This window comes from Homo sapiens, chromosome 12 (assembly GCF_000001405.40).
Source record: "Homo sapiens chromosome 12, GRCh38.p14 Primary Assembly".
In the NCBI taxonomy this organism is placed as follows: Eukaryota; Metazoa; Chordata; class Mammalia; order Primates; family Hominidae; genus Homo; species Homo sapiens.
Genome location: NC_000012.12, coordinates 128,689,180 through 128,709,667, shown reverse-complemented (window position 1 = coordinate 128,709,667; position 20,488 = coordinate 128,689,180). Strand labels below are relative to the sequence as shown.

Below are 20,488 nucleotides of genomic sequence, written 5' to 3'. Positions count from 1 at the left end.
AAATATGCTAAAAAACATTAAGTTGGCCGGGCGCAGTGGCTCAAGCCTGTAATCCCAGCACTTTGGGAGGCCGAGGCGGGTGGATCACCTGAGGTCGGGAGTTCAAGACCAGACTGACCAACATGGAGAAATCCTGTCTCTACTAAAAATACAAAACTAGCCAGGCGTGCTGGCACATGCCTGTAACCCCAGCCACTCAGGGGGCTGAGGCAAGAGAATTGCTTGAACCCAAGAGGCAGAGGCTGCGGTGAGCCGAGATCATGCCATTGCACTCCAGCCTGGGCAACAAGAGCGAAACTCCATCTCAAAAAACAAACAAACAAAAAACATTAAGTTGTACACTTTAAGTGGATCAGTTTTATGGCATGTGAATGATGTCTCGATAAAGTTATTATTTTAAAAAAATACCTTAGCTTCTACCAAAAAATTTTCTTTCCCCAACCAATCAATAATAACAATCTCACCCAAACCTCAAACAAACAACAATAACAATAAATGCAAAACTGTCAAGGCAAAAGTAAACTTTTTCCCCAGAGGAGAGATTTCACAGTTTCTCACCTGCTCCTAGGGTTTCTCTTCTTCTGTTAAGGACATTGGTAGTTTGCAAAGCTGGGGCTCGGACTGGCAATGTTGGCATCTGGCATAGCCCTGGAAGTTGTGAAAAAGGCAAATTCGGGAGCCCTGCCTTTGTCCTATTAAATCAGAACCTCTGGCGACAGGGCCTGGCAATCTGTGTGTCATCAAGCTCTCCTGCTCACTGATTTTGGGTACTGGTGCGGATGACGGTGGATCAGTGAATGAACACCCTCCTGCTCATTGATTTTGGATACTGGTGTGGATGACGGTGGATCTTATGAATGAAAGCCCTCCTGCTTGCTGACTTTGAGCACTGGTGTGGATGACGGTGGATCTATGAATGAACACCCTTCTCCTCACTGACTCTGAACGCTGGTGTGGAAGATGGTGGGTCTATGAATGAAGGCCCTCCTGCTCTCTAACTTTGGGCACTGGTGTGGATGATGGTGAGTGTATGAATGAACGCCCTCCTGCTTGCTGACTTTGAGCACTGGTGTGGATGATGGTGAGTGTATGAATGAACGCCCTCCTGCTTGCTGACTTTGAGCACTGGTGTGGATGATGGTGAGTCTATGAATGAACGCCCTCCTGCTTGCTGACTTTGAGCACTGGTGTGGATGATGGTGAGTCTATGAATGAACGCCCTCCTGCTTGCTGACTTTGAGCACTGGTGTGGATGATGGTGAGTGTATGAATGAACGCCCTCCTGCTTGCTGAGTTTGAGCACTGGTGTGGATGATGGTGAGTCTATGAATGAACGCCCTCCTGCTTGCTGACTTTGAGCACTGGTGTGGATGATGGTGAGTGTATGAATGAACGCCCTCCTGCTTGCTGACTTTGAGCACTGGTGTGGATGATGGTGAGTGTATGAATGAACGCCCTCCTGCTTGCTGACTTTGAGGACTGGTGTGGATGATGGTGAGTCTATGAATGAACGCCCTCCTGCTTGCTGACTTTGAGCACTGGTGTGGATGACGGTGGATCTATGAATGAAAGCCCTCCGTATTAGGAATCACTGTGGATCAGTCAAGAAACCAAAAGGGAAAAAGTTTTTTTTTTTAAAGATTGGCAAATATATTGTCTTCCCTTTAGCCTAAGGGTTTAATTCTTCTGGGGTTGTATATTTTGGGGTGGGAAATAGCAATTAAGTGAAACAAAACACACCCCACAAGACACTGACTTGTCAAGCCATGAAAAGCCTTTTAATGACAATTGGCATCACAGGTATAAATAAATATCTTCTTCTTTCCATCTATAATATGTGCTACAAATATATTTTTCAAAGGTCCAACCCAGGTTAGGAGGCTTCAAGGACCCTTTCTTAGCTACTGATTTTAGTAATTAAAAAAATAAACACAATAAACACCCCTGGCATCTTTGTGAGCGCCCCCCTGCGGAGAGCATGAGGGCTGTCAGGCATCTTCCTCCTGCAGCCGCAGCCAATGGAGCACACGGAGAACTGGAGTCAGGTGATCACGAAGGGGCTTATTTCACTGGCGTGGTCTACGTTGCCACATGTGTCGCTTTGGATGAATGCATTTTTGCAATGTGCTGCTACACAATTATGCTGTTCAAAAACACAGTTGATTGACAATCTAACATAGATTTTATCTTTAGAGTTTATGCTGGTATACCCCACCCAACAACATAAGAAAAACAACTCAAAAACCCTCCAAACAGTTTTTATCTTTGTTCATGTTCAGCATCAGTTATGTCTTGTGATAGACCAAGCCCACCAGGTTGGCTCTGATTACACCTGGGCGTGGCCTCTTTTTTGATTTAACCCAACTTTCTCCCATATAGGAACATCCCCACGATGACAGGGGTGGAATCCCGAGGGGTCAGGTGGTCCAGGTGGGGCTCTGTTCTCCTGGCCACATCCCGTCTGTACAGCCCCTCACAGGGCCACACCTGCTGGCTTTGCCCTATGGTAGTGGTGATGGATTAAGGACAGTTCCTCTCCTCCCCCAGAAGGCTCTGAGGGCTCCCTCCAATTGTACAAAACCCGCCACTATCAACAAAGCTGGAGGGATATAGAAAAACATTCAAGTTACTACTTAAACAATGGATTAATTGGCATTGTTCCTAGGAACCTATCTAATGAATAGGAATATAATTTATGTTTCATTTAGGAAAAATATACTGCTTGATTCTCAGAAATAAACATTAAATATAAATGCAATGGAAGTCTAGGACACAGAGAGAGAGAAAAAAGGAAAAAGTGGAAAAGAAAATAAAAGATGATCAAGTAAAGATTTAAAACTCCCTAGTTCTATCCCAAGAGGCATCCCTTGTTAAGAAATGACTCCCCCCCAGCTGTGTGGTGACAGTTGAAGGCTGTCCTTGGAAAAGTGAATCGTGAATTAGAATGGAAAATGTCTCTTAGCAGGTCCTATTTTTATATTTTGCTCCTTTATTAGAAATATAAACAGATGATTATTTCTCTTTTTATTTGTCTTGTTGCATTTTTTAACAAATAATTTTTGGTAGCTTGTCTGTAGTATGTTTTGACTCATAAAATAACCTTCCTAATTTTGCCTGTGCAGTTCAGTAACTTGGTCTGCACTCCCCATGCCCCAGACTTTATTCCCCTGACCTTTAAAAATCCACCACCATTAACTGCTAAAAATCCCTTGATACAAAAACGTCTTTTCCTGACTTCAAAACTTTCCAACTGGTCTAGCATGGACCCTGGGACCGTCCCTTCTTAACCCCACTGACAACGCCTTCTGCCCCACTTGGGCCAGTTTCCAGTACAAGGAAGGCATCTGGGCAGGGCCCTTTGGCTAGAGGGGCCTAAGCCTTATCTTTGAGTTTCTCCAGATAGTTTCTAAGTTCCTTGGGGGCACCCACAGCCACGTCTTGACACACCCATTTGATGTCCTCATCATTGCTGCTGACGATGGAGTTCACCGTGGGGCAGCTGTCGTCCGGGGGGATGGTGGTAAAGGTGGTAAATTTCACCTTCTTCCTCTTGGAGGTGGGCGAGTGCAGGGGGTCCTGCTTCTGTTCTCTGCCCTGCCGCCCCCCGGAGTCGGCTGACCTGTGAATCTGGCTCTGCACGTGCTTGTGGGAGCCACCATTGAGCAGGAGATGGTTGCTCTCCTCGCAGGCCCCCGGTCCGCGGTCTATGATGGTGGTGTGCTCGTCCTGGGGCGGCGGCGCATCCCCCATGCTCTCCAGGAGTTCGGCCTCATTGCCAAGCCACACCCAGTCGTGAGAGTGGGTCATGGAGGCCTGACCTTCCAGGGGCACTTGCTTGTGCCTGTACTTCAGGGCAAAGGTGGCGCAGTTGATCAGGAAGACGAGGATGGCCAGGCAGAACACCCCCAGGAGGGCGTACATCCCTATCTCCAGATCACTCAGGCCCCGCGGAGTCTGCACCAGGTCGTTTTCCTCCAGCCCACTCCCGGCCTTGGGGAGGTCCACGTGGGCAGGGAAGTTGGTGAAGTCAATGGGGATGTTCTGCAGCTGCCCCTCTCCTGCCAGCCTGCCCCCGTCTGCCCGACTGTTCTTCACCACTTTGTTGTCCAGCAGGGACCTGGCCGTGGTAGTGGCTCTTCGGAGAGCCCCTTCCTCACGCTCCACGGGAGAGCTGCCATAGAGGTGCCCATCTTGGCCTGTGCGCTCATGGTGCTGGCCCTTCTGCCGGCGGTCGCTGGCGTGGTTCTTGATCTCATCTTCCTCATAGTCCCCGCCGGGGCTGGAGTCAGCATCGTTCTGTCCGAACTTGACCCTGACGTTGCCGACGCCCACAGCCAGGATGCTCTTGCGTTTAGATTTCTGGCAGGCCTCGGCGATCGTCATGTCCACTCGGATCAGTGGGCCCTGGCCTTCCCCTTCGGCCACCACAACGGGCCACCTGGGAGAGCGGGGCTGGGGGACTGACACGACAGCCTCGTCCTGGGAGGTGGCTGCCAGGGAGAAGTCCTTGGTGTCGTAGATGTCCAGGGGCGTCACAGAGCCATCACTGAACTGCAGCCACGTGCTGAATACAGCCTCCTGCAGGGACACAGGCAGTTAGAAGACCACCTGGGGGATGCCTTTTCCCTTAGAAACCCCCTCCTAGGAGGACGCCCAATGAAACAGGGAGCAGGACCTCAAATCCAGACCCAGTAGCTCATGCATCTGGGGAGAAATCATACAGGTTTTCTATCAGGGGCAGAGAAACCACCTTAATTTAAACAAGAACAAATGGGGATGTGACTAACAGTGCCCTCATAATCCTTACCCAGAACAAACAAATGGCAAAACAAAAATCCCTAAGTGAGATGAGGCTCCGGGTGGCTTTATCCACACAGGTATTGCTTGAATCAGTCAGCCGGTGCATGTTCACAGACAATGACTGGCTTCTAGGGCAGGCCCTGGTCATTTTGTCACACACTCTGTGATTAGTGGCCTAAGTATGATGAATGGATACAGCTGTTGTCTGTATCCAGCCTGATGACAAAGGTTGATGGGCAGGAAACACTGTCAGAACCAATGACATCAGAAAGGAACCTCCCCTCTTCTCCCTGCACTGCCCCCAGTGAATTAAGCTTTGCCTGAGAAACAAGAAAACAAGAGCATTTTGCCCTTTAAGGTTGACCCTGTTGAGCCATTGCAGATGCTTTGCTTGGCTGTAGTTGGGCGGCAGTGATGTGTGGGACACAGTACATGGCATTGGCTGGTGGGCCCGGTTCAATTGTGCTGCCCTTGCTCTGCATGGGTAGCAGAGTGAAAGAGGAAGCAAAGGGCCAGTGTGAAGGGGCTGAGTTTATTTTGCAGACTCACTATACTTCTGTCAGTGACCCAACAGCTATGTAAAAACTATTTGCCATTGTGGGGACTGGTAAAAAAAAATTGACTTTATGTGCCTGGCTTATTTTACTCAAAGTAATGTCTTCCAGGATCATCCATGTTGCTGCAAATGGCAATATTTCATTCTTTTTATGGCTGAATAATATTCCAAAAAAAGGGGAAGCTACTGGCCTAGAAATGCCACTCACACCCATGCCTATGTGACTGGCAGATTCTCATGAGCACAAGGTTTCCTGCTGTCTCGCCTCCTCCCCAGGGCAATAATGACATCCTCTCCCCTTTGTGTGCCCACAGCAAACATAATCCCACAGAAGGCCTTATTCTTGACTTAGCCATGGGTACTTCTATTCTGCTTCCAAGAGTGGGAACTCCCATGAATAGAGGAGGGTGAAATGTGCAATCCTAATCATAAAACAGACAGTCCATATCCACTGGGCACTCGCTGTGGGTCAGGTGTTGTTCGCAGTTATTACAGAACGCATTTTCTCCTCTTCCACAAAGTAGGTTGGGTTATGCTTCCTGCCCAAAGAGAGGTTAAGAACTGTGCTCACATGCACGCATATGTTCATCGCAGCACTATTCACAATAGCAAAGACATGGAGTCACAATAGCGAAGACACAAAGTCAACCTAAATGGCACCTGATCCACAGCAAGTGCCCAGTGGATACAGGCTCTCCACTTTGTGCTTAGAATTGCATATTTCAGCCTCCTCCATTCATCTAGGAAAAACTCTCCAGACCATTAATGATAAACTGGATAAAGAAAATGTGGTACACACACACCGTGGAATACTATGCAGCCATAAAAAGAACAAGATCCCATCCTTTGCAGGGACCAGATGGAGCTAGAGGCCATTATTCTTAGCAAACTGACACAGAAACAGAAAACCCAACACTACATGTTCTCACTTCTAAGTGGGAGCTAAATGATGAGAACACATGGACAGATAGAGGGGAACAGCACACACTGGGGCCTATTGGAGGGTGGAGGGTGGGACCAGGGAGAGGATCAAGAATAATAACTAATGGGTACTAGGCTTAATACCTGGGTCATGAAATAATCTGTACAACCAACCCCCATGACACAAGTGTAGCTACATGACAAACCTGCACAGGTACCCCTGAAGTGAAAATAAAAGTTAAAAAAATAAAAAAAAGAAATATGTCCAGTCATATCGTTAGGAAGAGGCAGGATCAGGGCTGGAACTGCTGTGGCTTTAGAGCTGAGCTCTTGACCACTGTGCTAGGGACCCCCTAGAACAACCACTGCCAGAGCCCATTTTATCAGCCCCACAAAGACCATGATGACTCACCCTCTGCTGAAAAAGTCAAGTAGCTGCCTCCTTTCCTCCCTGCCTTTTTCACAGCAAACCAGGTCTGACCTCGTGGCCTTCCTGGACCTTTGTCCCCATCCATCCCGGACACTGTCATTGCAGCCCAGGGAGGTAGCAGCACCCACTCCATGGACGGGGCATGGGAAAATCCTACCTGCTGAGCCAGAGATACAGCAGCAAAGCTTGTGTGCGCTCTGAGCACTGGATGGAGATGTCGCCACTCAAAACCAAAAGCCCACACTTGGGTGGGATAACTACCTCTGTGGTATGCGAATTGGGAGAAAAGAAACTCACTTGAAGTTGGACCTGTGCAAATGCAAATACAACCTCCTTCAGAACAAAACAAAGCCGAGCAACCAGGGCTCAAGAGGTGCTCATGATACAAAGAAAGAAAAGTTACAACCTGTAGGTGGCAAGGCTGCACCGGGAGTGGTTGTGTTAAACATTTACACAGGAAGGTGAGCAGACTGATATGTGAGATCATAGAAGACTCCAAAGGCTATAACTTAAAGGAAACCAACAAAAAACAACAGTCTATGAAATAAAACAATAAATAATGTTATTTATGAAATAATAACATTTCATAATAATACATTTCATAATAAATAAATTTCATAATAAATGTTATTTATGAAATAACATAAAACGAACCAACAAAAATAGTCTATGAAATAAAATTAAAAAGAAATTAAAAATTTAATTAAAAAATTAAAGAGACATTAAAAGGAGTTGAAATTGTCTCAATAACAGCAAATGGGGGCCAGATGTGGTGGCTTATGCCTGTAATCCCAGCACTTTGGGAGGCCGAGGTGGGCGGATCACCTGAGGTCAGGAGTTCAAGACCAGCCTGGCCAACATGAGGAAACCCCATCTCTACAAAAAATACAAAAATTAGCAGAGCATGGTGGTGGGTGCCTGTAGTCCTAGCTACTCAGGAGGCTGAGGCAGGAGAATTGCTTGAACCTGGGAGGAAGAGGTTGCAGTGAGCCAAGATCACACCACTGCACTCCAGCTGGGGTGACAGAGCAAGACTCTGTCTCAAAAAAAAAAAAAAAAAAGAAGAAGAAGCGAATGGAAGCAGAGCAGGAAGGGGTGCAAAGAGCCACGTAGAATTTCTAGAAATGAAAAACACAGTCACTGAAATCAGTGACTCAATGGGTGGTTCGAACAGCAGATGAGACATGTTCAAGGAGAGAATTACTGCAGTGGGAGACAAAGCCACCCACGTTACCCCAAATAGAACCACAGGCATATCAAGAAATAAAACTGTGAAGGGCAGGTGAACAGACATAAAGGAGAGAATGAGAATGTCCAACGCTTGTTTGGTAGGAATTCCAGAAGGAAAAATTGGAGTAGCCTGGGAGCAGCCAGTGTTCACAGCAATGATGACTCTACATCCCGCAGGACCAAGGAAGAATGCTAGCAATTAAAAAAAGAATTCTGATGACATCGTTTGAGCATCTACATGTAGCTGTAGCTGAAGATCCAAATGCTTGGACATGAACTGATACATTCTGCTGTGTGTGAAGGCAGGTTGAGTTGGATTGGGTCATATCACTTGTGTTGGTAAGCCCTGGCCAACACCAGCTGGCTCTGAGGGGTGAGCCTGTGTAGGAAGTTTTAGGAGGGTGTGGAGTTCTCTTTGGGTGGCTGCCCATTCAGCTCCTGCTAGCTCAACTTTCAATGATCAACTTTGCTTTTTTTTTTTTTTAACTTATTTTTTGCCCAAGGTCACTCTCTGGCTTCTGGAATCCATGTGGTTGTGCCTACAGCAAGATGTGCCAAGGAGTTAATAAATGCTGTGGGCAGCCCTCAATGAAGGACTCATGGAAGTTGTTATATTTATCCCAGATCCCTTGCCCCTCAAGTGCAGTAACTCTTCTGGCCTTTCTAGACCGGCATACAGTCGCCCAGCAGACAGGAGCTCCGGCTGCCCTTGGCGGCGGCTGAGTTGGTAATACACTCTACTGGTTGCATTTCTCTTCCTTCCATCACCCCCGACTTCTCTACTGGTATTGTCTTCACCACCTGAATAAACTACTTGCACCTGAATCCTTGTCTCAGGCTCAGCTTCTGAGCAGACCAAAACTAAGACAGAAGAGATGGCTCAGCGATGTTGGTGCTCACCCTCGTCTCCTCTGTCCATATCAGCTGATGAATCACACAATCCAATAAGTCCTTCTAATGCCTCAACCTCATGCACAAATACCAAGTGATTTCTCCTTTCATTTTTCGATCCTACTTTCTTTAGAGCAAACAAGGCTTGGGAGAACATGCAGGCTACTACCCTCTATTTGTAGGTGTAAAAACCATTCAGATTTTCTATTTCAAAGTTGAAAATATCATGAACAAGGTGCCAGCCTTCTACACTCTAAGGGGTGAGATAAAAGACTGAACAGTGTGCAAGTTCATCGTGGCTGACATTTCCTCTTGAATAATTTTTCTTCACAAACTAGATGGGGAAAGAAGTTAACATAAAAAAGCCCCTGAACAGCAGACAATCGGAATTAAAGCCTCAGAACACCGTTGACTTGCCAAGATCCATCTCCATCAGCCCTGCTGCATGATTGAGACTAACTTCTACCATAAGCTCATTACAGAGAGGCTGGAATGTAGTGTTTCATCAGGAGAAGCCAGCGCATTTCCCCAAAGATGAGAAATTCTGAATGACTTAAAATAACACATGCCCAGAAATGATTTAGAGCTCTATCCTTTCAAGAGTCGTGTCTGCAAATCAGATGAACTACATCCACAAATCCCCCTAAGTCAGTGCTAGGGGACACCAATTACTGTCAGCTGATGAAGACAGATGGGCGACAGGAGATGGGGAGCGGCCGGCCATACCCCATGCCAAGGGGGTTGCAATGCCAATCGTCCACCCTAATTCATTATCCATTCTCAGCAAATAGCTTCATGCTTTCAGCTTTCTCTCTCCCACTTTCCTCTGCTCTTTTTTCTTCTAATCCCAAATGTGAGAGTATTACTCTGCTCTTTGTAAACCAGAAAACACCATGTTGATTTCCTGGCCCATCTGCCCCCAAAGAAGACTTGAAGAAGCCAGTGCTGTGGGCTGGATGAGGACCTGCATGCACCCCAGGTCCCTCCTGCTGACACTCTGGGGCAAAATCAGGTAGCAACTCTCTCTTCATTAGGCAGAATTCCTGGAATGGCCCACCAAAGATGTTCTGCGCCAGTTCCCAGAACATGGGCATGGGATGAGTGACTGCTGTCATGATTATGTTATATTGTTACATGGCACAGGTGATAGAGTGATCTTCCTGGATTATCTGGGTGAGTCCAGTGAAATCACATGAGTCCTTAAAAGCTGAGCGATTTCTCTAGCTGGTGACAGAAGGGGAAGGTGGAGAGACTGGAAGCATGAGAAAGACTCCATGCATTGTTCCTAGTGTTGAAGCCGATGAAGGTAGGGTGGGGACTGAGAAGGAATGCAGGTGGACTTGTGGAACTAAGAGAGGATTCCAGCCAGTAACCTGCCAAGAATTGGCAACCTCAGTCCTATAACTGCAAAGATCTGGATTCTGCCACCACCCAAATAATTCTAGAAGCAGATTCTTCCTCAGAGCATCCTGGTAAGAACTCAGGCAACCAACACTGTGATTTCAGCCTTCTGATACTCTGGGCATGAACCCAGCTGAGCCCACCCACCGCACTGTGAGCCAATAAGTGCGTGCCATTTTCAGCTACTAAGTGTGTGGCCGTCGTTACATAGCAGCAGATAATGGGCACATCTCTGAGCACTGAGCATCATCACTCTAGCTCTTCATAGACCCCACTACTGGACAAAGCAGCCACATGGATTTTGCACAGTCTGCACTGCTTGCTTATAACACCAGCCCAGCCCCTGTAGGCATTTGAGTTTGCAGTCCTTGAACTGCACTGAAATCCTGCACTATGGCTGGAACGTTCCAATCCCCCCTAGAAGAACACAAGCCCCTAGACTTTGTCATCATGCCTGCTCCCTTAACCATCACTGCTCTCTGTTCTCATCATCATGCCTCTGCTTTGTAGCACTATCGTGTTCCTGCTAGTGCATGTCAGGGGATCCTAACGCCTGCTACTAACCCCTGGGCCCTGTCGCCTGTCCCAGCCACATGACACCTCCTCCAGCATTGCTCAGTCCATAGTGGGATGTGGATTTAATCTGAGCTTCCTCCCCAGACCGCCTGCCTATTGTGGCCGCAAGTCACCAGAGGAAACTGGGTTTGACGCAGAGTGTTCTGAGTCAAGACTGTCTGCTCTGATGGAGCATCCAAGGCTCTGTGTGCTTTCACTAAAATAGTGATCATAATAACAGCAGCCATTCCCAGGAAAAGAGCTAACACTGGCTGGCATGTGCCAGCCACTGTTTTTAGCAGTCAACATCGTTAAGCCTAATTTAATTTGCAAATGGACTCTTCACAGGTGTTGTTACTTTCTCATTAAGGATTGAGACACGGGTGAGGCGTCTTGCCTGAGGTTACATAGGTGGTAACGGACACAGCTGTGATACCATCTGGGCCTTTTGGCTCCTAACTTTGTACTCTTCTCATAAGTATTGTTCTAATGATGGCATCAGAAGCAGAAAGTCCTGCAGACAAGGTAAACACCCATATGCAGGTTGTTAGGGTCAGACGAGCCCATCCTGGCTGTGTTACGTGGATAACTCTCCCTGCTCTCTTTCTAATTTCCTGTCTTCCAGCCCAATTCTAAGAGTCATTCAGTCACTCAACCAACATTTATTGAGCACCTACTATATGCTGGCCCTGTGATGGTCAATTCTAAGAGTCATTCAGTCACTCAACCAACATTTATTGAGCACCTACAATATGCTGGCCCTGTGATGGTCACTGGGGATAGAGCGATGAACAGGGGGCTTCTCTTGTAGAGCTTATATCCCATGGAGGAGAAACATGCTTTATGTGGTAAGAAATGGGGCGGATTCAGACCCATTCGCTGTGAGCAAAGGCATTTATGAGAAGAGGGTATCATAACTGGGTATGAAAATGAGAAAGAGCCATGCTCAGCGGTGAGGGTGGTGTGTCTCAGGTAAAAGCAACAGCAATTGCAAAACCCCTAAAGAAGTGCAAGGGGAGTGTGTGCCTCAAATAGGATGAGAGAGACTGAGGGCTGCACAAGATAAAGTCAGAGATATAGCCAGGGGCTATGTTGTGTGGGGCCATGTGGGCTGTCAAAGGAATATGGTCTCTTTCTAAGTGCAATGGGAAGTCATTGGAGCATTTTAAGCCAGTAAAAGGCATGATGTGATTTATGGTTTTAAGTGCTTGCTCTCCTCTTGAGAAGAGAGGGGAGTGCAGGGGTAAGAACGGCAGCCAAGAGACTTGGTGAGGAGGCTGGTAAATGGTCTGTGTTGCTCAAAAGCTATGTGGGTAACATGAGCACTTTGTCTGCAATGACATGGCTTCCATTGTGGAACATGGTTCTGCTAACCTGCCCCCATTTCTCACTCCACCCTGCCCCTTTGCTGAAGCAGGCACAGTGGCTGACCCTGCTCCCTCTGAACCTCTGGCATTTGGCCCCCTACCTGTTTGGGGGTCCGCAGCACCTCCTCAGCTGTGACCACAGCTGTTACGGCCTTGCTGTTTTCTGCGTTGGGGTAAAGGGCGACAGACAGCCCAGCCACGAGCTGGATGGCCAAGTCTGTCACCGATACTTTGTCATCTAGCACGGTTATTGTCTTCTCTGCCAGGATGGAGTCAGACAGTGGAGACAACACCTGTGGGATTGGCAGGACACAAGGAAAATCCATCACACCTGTTTCCAGATGTTATCCCCTTTACCAGTAATATTTCTTCCATCCCAACAGGCCTGAGGTCCAGAATACAGGGCAAAGGAGTTACATATCTACTTCACTCTATATGCTGGCCCATCCCATGCCTTCGTGAGAATCAAAGTTACCCTTTCCCCAGGACACCTTAATTCTACCTGTTAAAAAATTGGAATAGATATTAAAATCCATTCTGTCTTTAAAAGGGAATGACCCCTCCTATTTAGATGAAGTATGCTTGTACAATGCACGACCTGGTTAACTGTACATGGTGATCCTGTTGAACAGACTCATGAAGAATTGAATTATAAATTTATAAAAGTGAATTATAAATAGTTCACTCCTCCCACCACCACCACAATGTATCCTCTGCCAAAACATTGCTTTCTGCCTCATCTTGTAAGCCAAATGTTGGGCTTGAGATGTCCAGGGGAAATGACGGGAATGTGCTAACCATTTCCACATATGGTGTAAGGATCCTGAATGACATTCCAGAAAGGTGGATTCAGTAGGGTGGGACTTGAGGGATTGAGGAAAAGGCTGTTCATGCCCCATCATGAAATTTTACCATTCTATACACTTCCTTGAGTGAAAAAGAAGGAGCAGGATTTCAAAGAGAGTTTGTTGAATAAGTAAATGGCAGGAAGACAGAATGACTGAAAGAAGGAAGAAATGAGAAGAATCCATGCTTTTTCCCTGGGCCACTGGTAGAAGTGGTACATAGAGAAGACCATGGCTATTTCTAAGAAGGCATAGGGGGAAAAAGTTAGAAAAGTGTGGACTAAGAAGGAGAATCAGAGGTAGGATGGGGGTGCTGGGAGGTGGTGGGAATGGTGGAGGCAGCCATTGAGAATGAGGTCACACGGGGAGCTAAGAGGGTGCAGCTGCCACCTTCTCCATTCTGTTTGGAAGGAGCTGGACTCAAGATCTGGCCTGGGCTCATCTTCCTGTGTTCCCATGATACACATGGGTTGGGGAATCGGCCACAGTGATCTGCCCACCCATTGACTCTCCCTCAACACTGCACACATGCCCAGTGCTGGGGACACAGAGACTCCCAGCTTCCTACCTGGATGGTCGTCATCCCAACCTCTCGCCCAACCAGGACCCGGCTGTCCTGGAGGGTGGCCACGTGAGGTTCCTCCAGCTTCATGAAGTCTGCCACCAGGTGAGTGATGTCGAACTGCCAGTTAGGACTAAGCAGGTAGTTCGGCTGGCCCCATGGACCGGCGCCCTCAGACACAAACTGGGTGAGGACCCGCACGGTGGCGTGCTGGTATTGCAGTGCGCAGCCCCGGCCCCGCCGCTCCTCCTCGTCCTCATCCTCGCTCTCACGAGTGGGCCTTGTGGGAAGGGACAAAGAGCTCTCAGATCCAGGGAGAGGAGTCTAAGACGTTCTTGAGACAGGCAGGCGCTCACCTCAACCTCAAGGAGACCACATTGAAGACACGAGCGCCAGGACCATGCAAGGGGCACCAAGCCTATCTCTAGGCAACACTAAGTGATGGGCATCTCTTTCTCAAATACATTTATTGAAAAATAAAAGACAAGGGCTAATATGTACCAAGTCTGCACTGTCTCATAAGTAGGCATTGGACACATGTGGCTATTTTAATTTTTATTAATTAATGAATTATTATTATCTTTTTAGAGACAGGGTCTTGCTCTGTTGTCCAGGCTAAAGTGCAGTGGTCCATCCTAGCTCAATGCAGCCTTGAACTCCTGGGCTTAAGTGATCCTCCTCCTTCAGCCTCCTGAATAGCTGGGAATACAGGCATGGACTATCATGCTTGGCTAAGTAAAAAAAAAAAATTCTGTAGAGATGGGGTCTTGCTATGTTGCCCAGGCTGGTCTTGAACTCATGGCCTCAAGTGATTCTCCCACCTTGGCCTCCCAAAGTGCTGGGATTACAGTCCTGAACTACCACACCCAGCCCTAATGTTAATTTAAATAAATAAAAATTAGATAAAAAATTGAACCTCATCACACTGGCTACAGTCCAGGCACTCCATAGCTACTTGTGCTAGTGACCACCATATTGGACAGAGGGGTTCTAGAACATCCCACCACTGTAGAAAGTCCTATTGGACAGAGCTGTCTTACACACTTGAGATGTGGCAGGTCCCATTTTATGCTTCCACATGTATGAACTCTTTTAACCTCATAACACTATGAGGCAAACTCATAATTATTCTCATGAACAGATGAGGAAACTAAGGCACAGAGAGGTTAGGTAGCTTGCCCATGCTCACAAAGCTAATTAGTGGCAGAGATTGGATTGGAGCCCAGGGAGTCTTAATTCTTCCCCCTCAGGGATGTGGAACAAACTCATTGTCTTGGCCACTCATGACCACAGACTAATCTGAAGGACTGGGTAGATTCACAGCTTTCCTCCCACATCGGGCCAAATGCCTTCAGCTTCCCCTTGTAGAGATGGATTCCGCATCTCACTGTCCTACTTACTCTTCTTGAAATGCTCTCTCTTATGAGAAAGGCCCTGGTGCCTGGGGGACTGTCAGGGAAAGAGCCCTGATGGTCTGGGGTGGAGCATTCCAGGCAGGAAGCTGTGAACTCAGGAACACCTTCACTTAGCTAATGTCTGCTAATCCGGGGGTCACAGGGCTGAGAAAACAAGACCCCATACTCTTGCATGTGACAGACAGACAGTCCGGAATCCCAAAAAAATTAGAAGCTTTTGGCAAATAATGATTCCAGCATCCACTAGAAACACAATTAAATTTTATCCAATAATTTGATCTGCACAGAACATTTCAAGCTTATAGATATGCATAAAGCACAGGAAAGGACTGACTTTTTTTTGGAGAAAATAAACCAAACTTCAAATTACCTGGTAACCAAGATGCTAAAAAAATGTATTAACTCCATCGTGTCATTTTGGGAGAGCCACTTTCAAGAGACAGCCTCATATAAGCCCCAGTGTAGAGTGCGGACAACCTGGGTTTGAGGCAAACCTGCTGTTTAGCAGCTTTTGGGCCTGGCTGGGTTATCTGGGAGCCCTGGGGAGATTCAACTGCTGAGACAATACCAGCATCTCTTAAGCATTGGGTCCTTTAGTGTTAAGGTCAGTAAATAAAGTTGTTGTTTTGGCTCTAGGGCATCTCCCCATCCGAGGCTCACCTCTTATTGGTCACAATGGGGACCCTCCAGCCCTTTATCTGGCTGAGCTCCGTGTCAGAGACCTCGATCTGCAGGGGCAGCCGGGGCACCCACACGGTGACACACAGGGGGGCGCTCAGGTACTGGTATGTGAAGTTCACCACCGCATCCATCTTTCCTTTGATCTCTTTGCCATTGACAAAGATGTAGTCACAGCGCTCAGACACCTGCAAAGACAGAGGGAGAAAGGATGGAGGAGAAGTTCATGGAGCCTTGGAGACAATCCTTTTTTTGTTTTTCCTATTATCTTGCAAAGCACAAATGCTTATTTCTGGTTTCTCCTAAAGCAGAGCCTGAGACAAGGATTTGGTGCACTCAGTTTAATTGGGAGGTGACCCCAGGGAGCAGGGGTGAAGGAGCAGATGAGGAAGACAGAGAAAGAAGGAAACCCAATAGGAAGGTGCATTTTTTAGGCTGTTACAGGGACCATGGGCTCGGTTTTCAGAGGCTTCATGAAAAGTATCTAGAATTGTCCACTTGAGGAGTAAGAGGAGGGAATATTTTTAGCTACCATTTCTTATTCCTACTGGTTGAGGGCTTGCCCCACCCGGAACAGAAAACAGAAAGCAGATTGAGGTGAGACTGCAATCAAAAAGTGAACTTGAACTTGTACAGAACTGCAGCTGTAGCTGAAATCTGGGTGGGCTGAGTAATTTGATGTGAGCACCAGAGGTTTTCACACCCTGGGCAGTTATGTCTTTTCAGAAAGTAAGCTGCACCCACAACCCACCCCATCCAGCCTCCAAGGATGCAAAGGGCCCGTAGTGCCTTCCTCCCCAGCATGATTCTCACTAATTCTGAGGTCTCTCCCCTGCATGCACATGCAGGCCTGATGCAGGTTCTTCACGGTCCCCAGGCTTTGGCAAGGCCGGTCCCTGTGCCTGGGAGCACCTTCCCATCCCTATTTGCCTGACCTACCCCAGCTCAGGGGTTCCTTATGAGACCCCTTCTGTGGTCTTCTATGACCCCGTGGGATTATTTATATAATACGTGTTCGTTATGTGAATGGCAGATCACATTAGGGACTACCAACCTATGTTCCCTTTCCCTATGCGCCTCCCTTTCCTTTTCCCCTTTCTGGCAGATTGCTGTCTCAGGAAAGGGATGAGACAAAGCAGAAAGAAAAATAAACACACAGACTAAAAAAATAAAGGTTGCAAGTATGTGGCTTTTGTGTTCCCAGATTATTCATTCAAATATGACTCTATCTACCAGCCCAGAGGGCATTCCCAGTGTAGCAAGGAAACAGCAGAATGATACCTGTGTTCTCAAGCAGGCAGGAAGGGGCAATGTGGACAACAATGAGGGGCCATTGAAGAGGTAACCTGGGCGGACTGTGACCGGTAAAAAATGTCCCCTAGGAACTGTGAACAGAAGATTATAAGACAAGATGTGCCCTTCCCCAAGGCCTTGGCAATAGTTAAATCCCCTGGAAATTAGACTGGTATTCTGTTTCTGCCACCCCGATGAATTGAAAACTGAAAATAGAAACCAAGTTGGGTTATAGAGAAACAATATGACCCCTGTTGAATAGCCAAGCTTATCAGATGTGATTTAAATTGGTCCCATGTGTCCATATCACCTCTTAAACTAAGAAATCTTTGAAGGCAAAAAGTACATTGTGTTCATTTTTCACCTCTGGGTTCCTTACCTCAGCTGCTTATGAAGCAGGAGCTCAGTGAAATGGACATTGCATGGATGAATGGATGGAAGGATAGATGGATAGACAGATGAACAGATGGATGAATGCACACACTGATGCATAGACAGATGGACAGATGGAGGAAAGGATGAACAGATGGATGGATGGACAGGTGAATGGGTGGTGGACAAATGGGTAGATAGCTGGGTAGATGAATAGACAGATGAGCTGATGGGTGGATGCACACACTGATGGACAGACACATGAACGGATGGATGGACAGGTGAATGGGTGGTGGACAAATGGGTAGACAGCTGGATAGATAGATGAACTGATGGGTGGATGGACACACTGATGGACAGACACATGAATGGATGGGTGGACAGGTGAATGGGTAGTGGACAAATGGGTAGACAGCTGGATAGATAGATGAACTGATGGGTGGATGGACACACTGATGGACAGACACATGAATGGATGGGTGGACAGGTGAATGGGTGGTGGACAAATGGGTAGACAGCTGGATAGATAGAAGAACTGATGGGTGCATGCACACACTGAGGGACAGACACATGAATGGATGGGTGGACAGGTGAATGGGTGGTGGACAAATGGGTAGACAGCTGGATAGATAGATGAACTGATGGGTGGATGGACACACTGATGGACAGACACATGAATGGATGGGTGGACAAGTGAATGGCTGGTGGATAAATGGGTGAATAGGTCGACAGATTGATAGACAGCTGAACAGATGGACAGATGCACACACTGATGGACAGACAGATGGGTGGATGCACGGATGGATGGATGGAAAGATGGATGGATGGGCAGGTTAAGTGCTGGTGGATAAATGGGTAGATAGCTGGACAGATGGATAGACAGATGAACTGATGGATGGAAGCACACACTGATGCACAGACAGATGGACAGAGGGATGGATGAGCAGGGCCTTCCCTTCATGGGGATGCCTGCTTCAGGACAGTCATCAAGGATCTTGGGGTTGATGGACGATGCAGTGAGAGACTGAGATGACATGGAGCCAAAAGCTACAAAAACACAAGAAGTTAATTCAAAAGTTTCTAGAAAGTGCTCAGGCAGTGTTTCCTAACCTTTCTTGGGTCATTCACTCTTTTGAGAATACACATAAAGCTAATTCTTGCTGGAGAAATGCACACACATACAGTTTAGTGGAGTATTTCTGAGTTAATGAAGTCACTCGGAAACCCCTCACATAGCACTTAGCATACTAAGCTATAATTGCTGATTTGCTTATCTGTCTTCTGTCTAGATCATGTAGCTTGGAAAGAACAGAGTCCCCTTCTGGGGGGTCTGTGGCCTCGGCCAAATAACATCCAGTGCTGAATAAAGAACTCTTATAATCTGATCACCCTCTCTTTCCCCAGCTTCCGGGAACCATGGATGGCTACTCTGGGCTCAATTTTCATCTTCAACTTGCACTTCTGTTTGGAGAGGCAGCTGGTGAGGGCTGGGCTGAGAGAATTTGCTCCATCTGCTGGGGACAGTGGCAGGGAGCAGTTGGGGACAGTGGCAGGGAGCAGTTGGGATGGGAACACATGGATGGATCTTCTCATTCATGGTCAAGAGTGGTTTAAAAATGTTTACATGCTGATTAAAGAAGGAAGGCAATTTTAGTTGCCATCCCAGGCTTGTCATTAGCAGGTAAACACTGTCCTGGATCTGGGAAGGCATTAGCACAACAGTCGAGCAAGAGTTATATCAGTAATCACTTCTTTAGTCAATGTTGTAATTTACAGACCATTGACTTTTCTCATTTATTACCTTTCTGAGCTCTGGTGGGAGGAAACCTGGCTGCTCCCGAATATATAAATAATTAAGAGCAATGCCAAGGGTATGAAGTAGCCGTGCATGATAGAGCCATCGTCACTGCTATTCCTGAAGGTGTCATAAATGTCTGGGGACATCTCAGGATGCATTAATCATCTCCTAAGTGGCCAGCAGTGAGAACTATCATATGAAAAAGTGAGCCCACTCATCTACAAAAAGGAACCAAAACCCCACAGGAGTCTTTTTAGTCCCTCGGCTTTGTTTCTCAGACTGCTTTTCATCTTTCATTGTGGATGAGCTGCCCATTGAGAAAACTGCCCACTGAACTCCACTCACTCTGATATCTAAACTATGCGGACAGAATGCGTGGTAGCCATGGCCCAGAAATCAGTGTCTGCCTGTAAGGACCCAGGGACGGTGGGGTCACGTGAGGCTTGGTGGAGCCACATATGGTCAGTTGCCATATTCCGTTATCACTCAGGCTTTGGCACCTTCCTGAGTCTGCACCTGCCTCCTAGGAAGAGCCTGGGGGTCACTTTCCAAGGGGAAGGCAGAGGCATCTGCCGGTCAGCCACGGATGTCCTGTGGGAGCCTGGCCTGAATCGTCATCTAGCCAAACTGGTTCTCAGACTTGAGCGAGCCTCAGGGAGGGCCTGTTGGCATAGACTGCTGAGTGTCCATCTCAGATTCAGCAGGTCTGGGGTGGGGACCCACACGGGCATTTGTAACCAGCGGCTGCGGATGCTGTTGCTGCTGCTGCTCTGGGTACCACTGTGAGATCTACTCCTTGCACCCTCTACATCCCGCTCATGATGGTAATCATTTAGTTATGATGCTTGGAAGTGCATCTCTGTGCTGACAACTCCTAAACTCCTGTCTCTGGATATCCACCTGCTTCTTCCACGTCTCCACTTGGGTCTCTAATTAACATTTCAAACTTATGTTCAAAAATCAAGCTCCTAGTATGGTTTTTGTGCATCTCAGGGCACTGAGGTTGTGCTTGAATGAAGTTCAGATACAAGAAAATCAAATGCACGTTTCTTGTACACCCAAGTTTGTGGACCTGCTCCGTTAATATGAATGAAATGCTCGTACACAGTGACAATCCCGCTTCACATCTGCAAGGTGCTTTCACGTCATTTTCTTTCTTTTTCTTTGAGCTCAAGTGTTTTATTGCACGATATGATAAATATAGTTAATAATAGCATATTGTACATTTCAAAATTGCTGAGAGAAAATTTTGAATGTTCTCACCACAAAAAGTTAAGTATTTGAGATGATGAATATGCTGCTTAGCTTGACTTAATCACTGTATAAAGAATACATTATATTCATACATTATATCACTTACTACTGCATAAATAT

At 47.1% G+C, this 20,488-nt stretch overlaps 1 protein-coding gene across 3 annotated transcripts in view, besides 2 other annotated features; it reads right to left on the bottom strand.

Moving 5' to 3' along the window:
• Positions 669–1,168: an enhancer, noted in NCBI's record as "H3K27ac hESC enhancer chr12:129193045-129193544 (GRCh37/hg19 assembly coordinates)". NCBI's record gives its function as "activates a minimal SCP1, AML or CMV promoter by ChIP-STARR-seq in naive H9 embryonic stem cells {active_cell/tissue: H9 hESC(naive)}" and the evidence as "EXISTENCE:reporter gene assay evidence [ECO:0000049][PMID:30033119]".
• Positions 1,169–1,670: an enhancer, noted in NCBI's record as "H3K27ac hESC enhancer chr12:129192543-129193044 (GRCh37/hg19 assembly coordinates)". NCBI's record gives its function as "activates a minimal SCP1, AML or CMV promoter by ChIP-STARR-seq in naive H9 embryonic stem cells {active_cell/tissue: H9 hESC(naive)}" and the evidence as "EXISTENCE:reporter gene assay evidence [ECO:0000049][PMID:30033119]".
• Positions 1,757–20,488, bottom strand: part of TMEM132C (transmembrane protein 132C) — a 440,742-nt gene continuing 422,010 nt past the window's right edge. For 2 of the 3 annotated variants that reach the window (NM_001136103.3, NM_001387058.1), the window contains exons 6-9: positions 15,634–15,839; positions 13,565–13,838; positions 12,253–12,444; positions 1,757–4,578 (exon numbers count right to left, since the gene is read on the bottom strand). In NM_001136103.3, coding sequence (NP_001129575.2) covers positions 3,373–4,578; positions 12,253–12,444; positions 13,565–13,838; positions 15,634–15,839 — 1,878 coding nt within the window. In that variant the 3' untranslated portion in view covers positions 1,757–3,372. The other variant, XM_047429886.1, reaches the window with a different exon arrangement.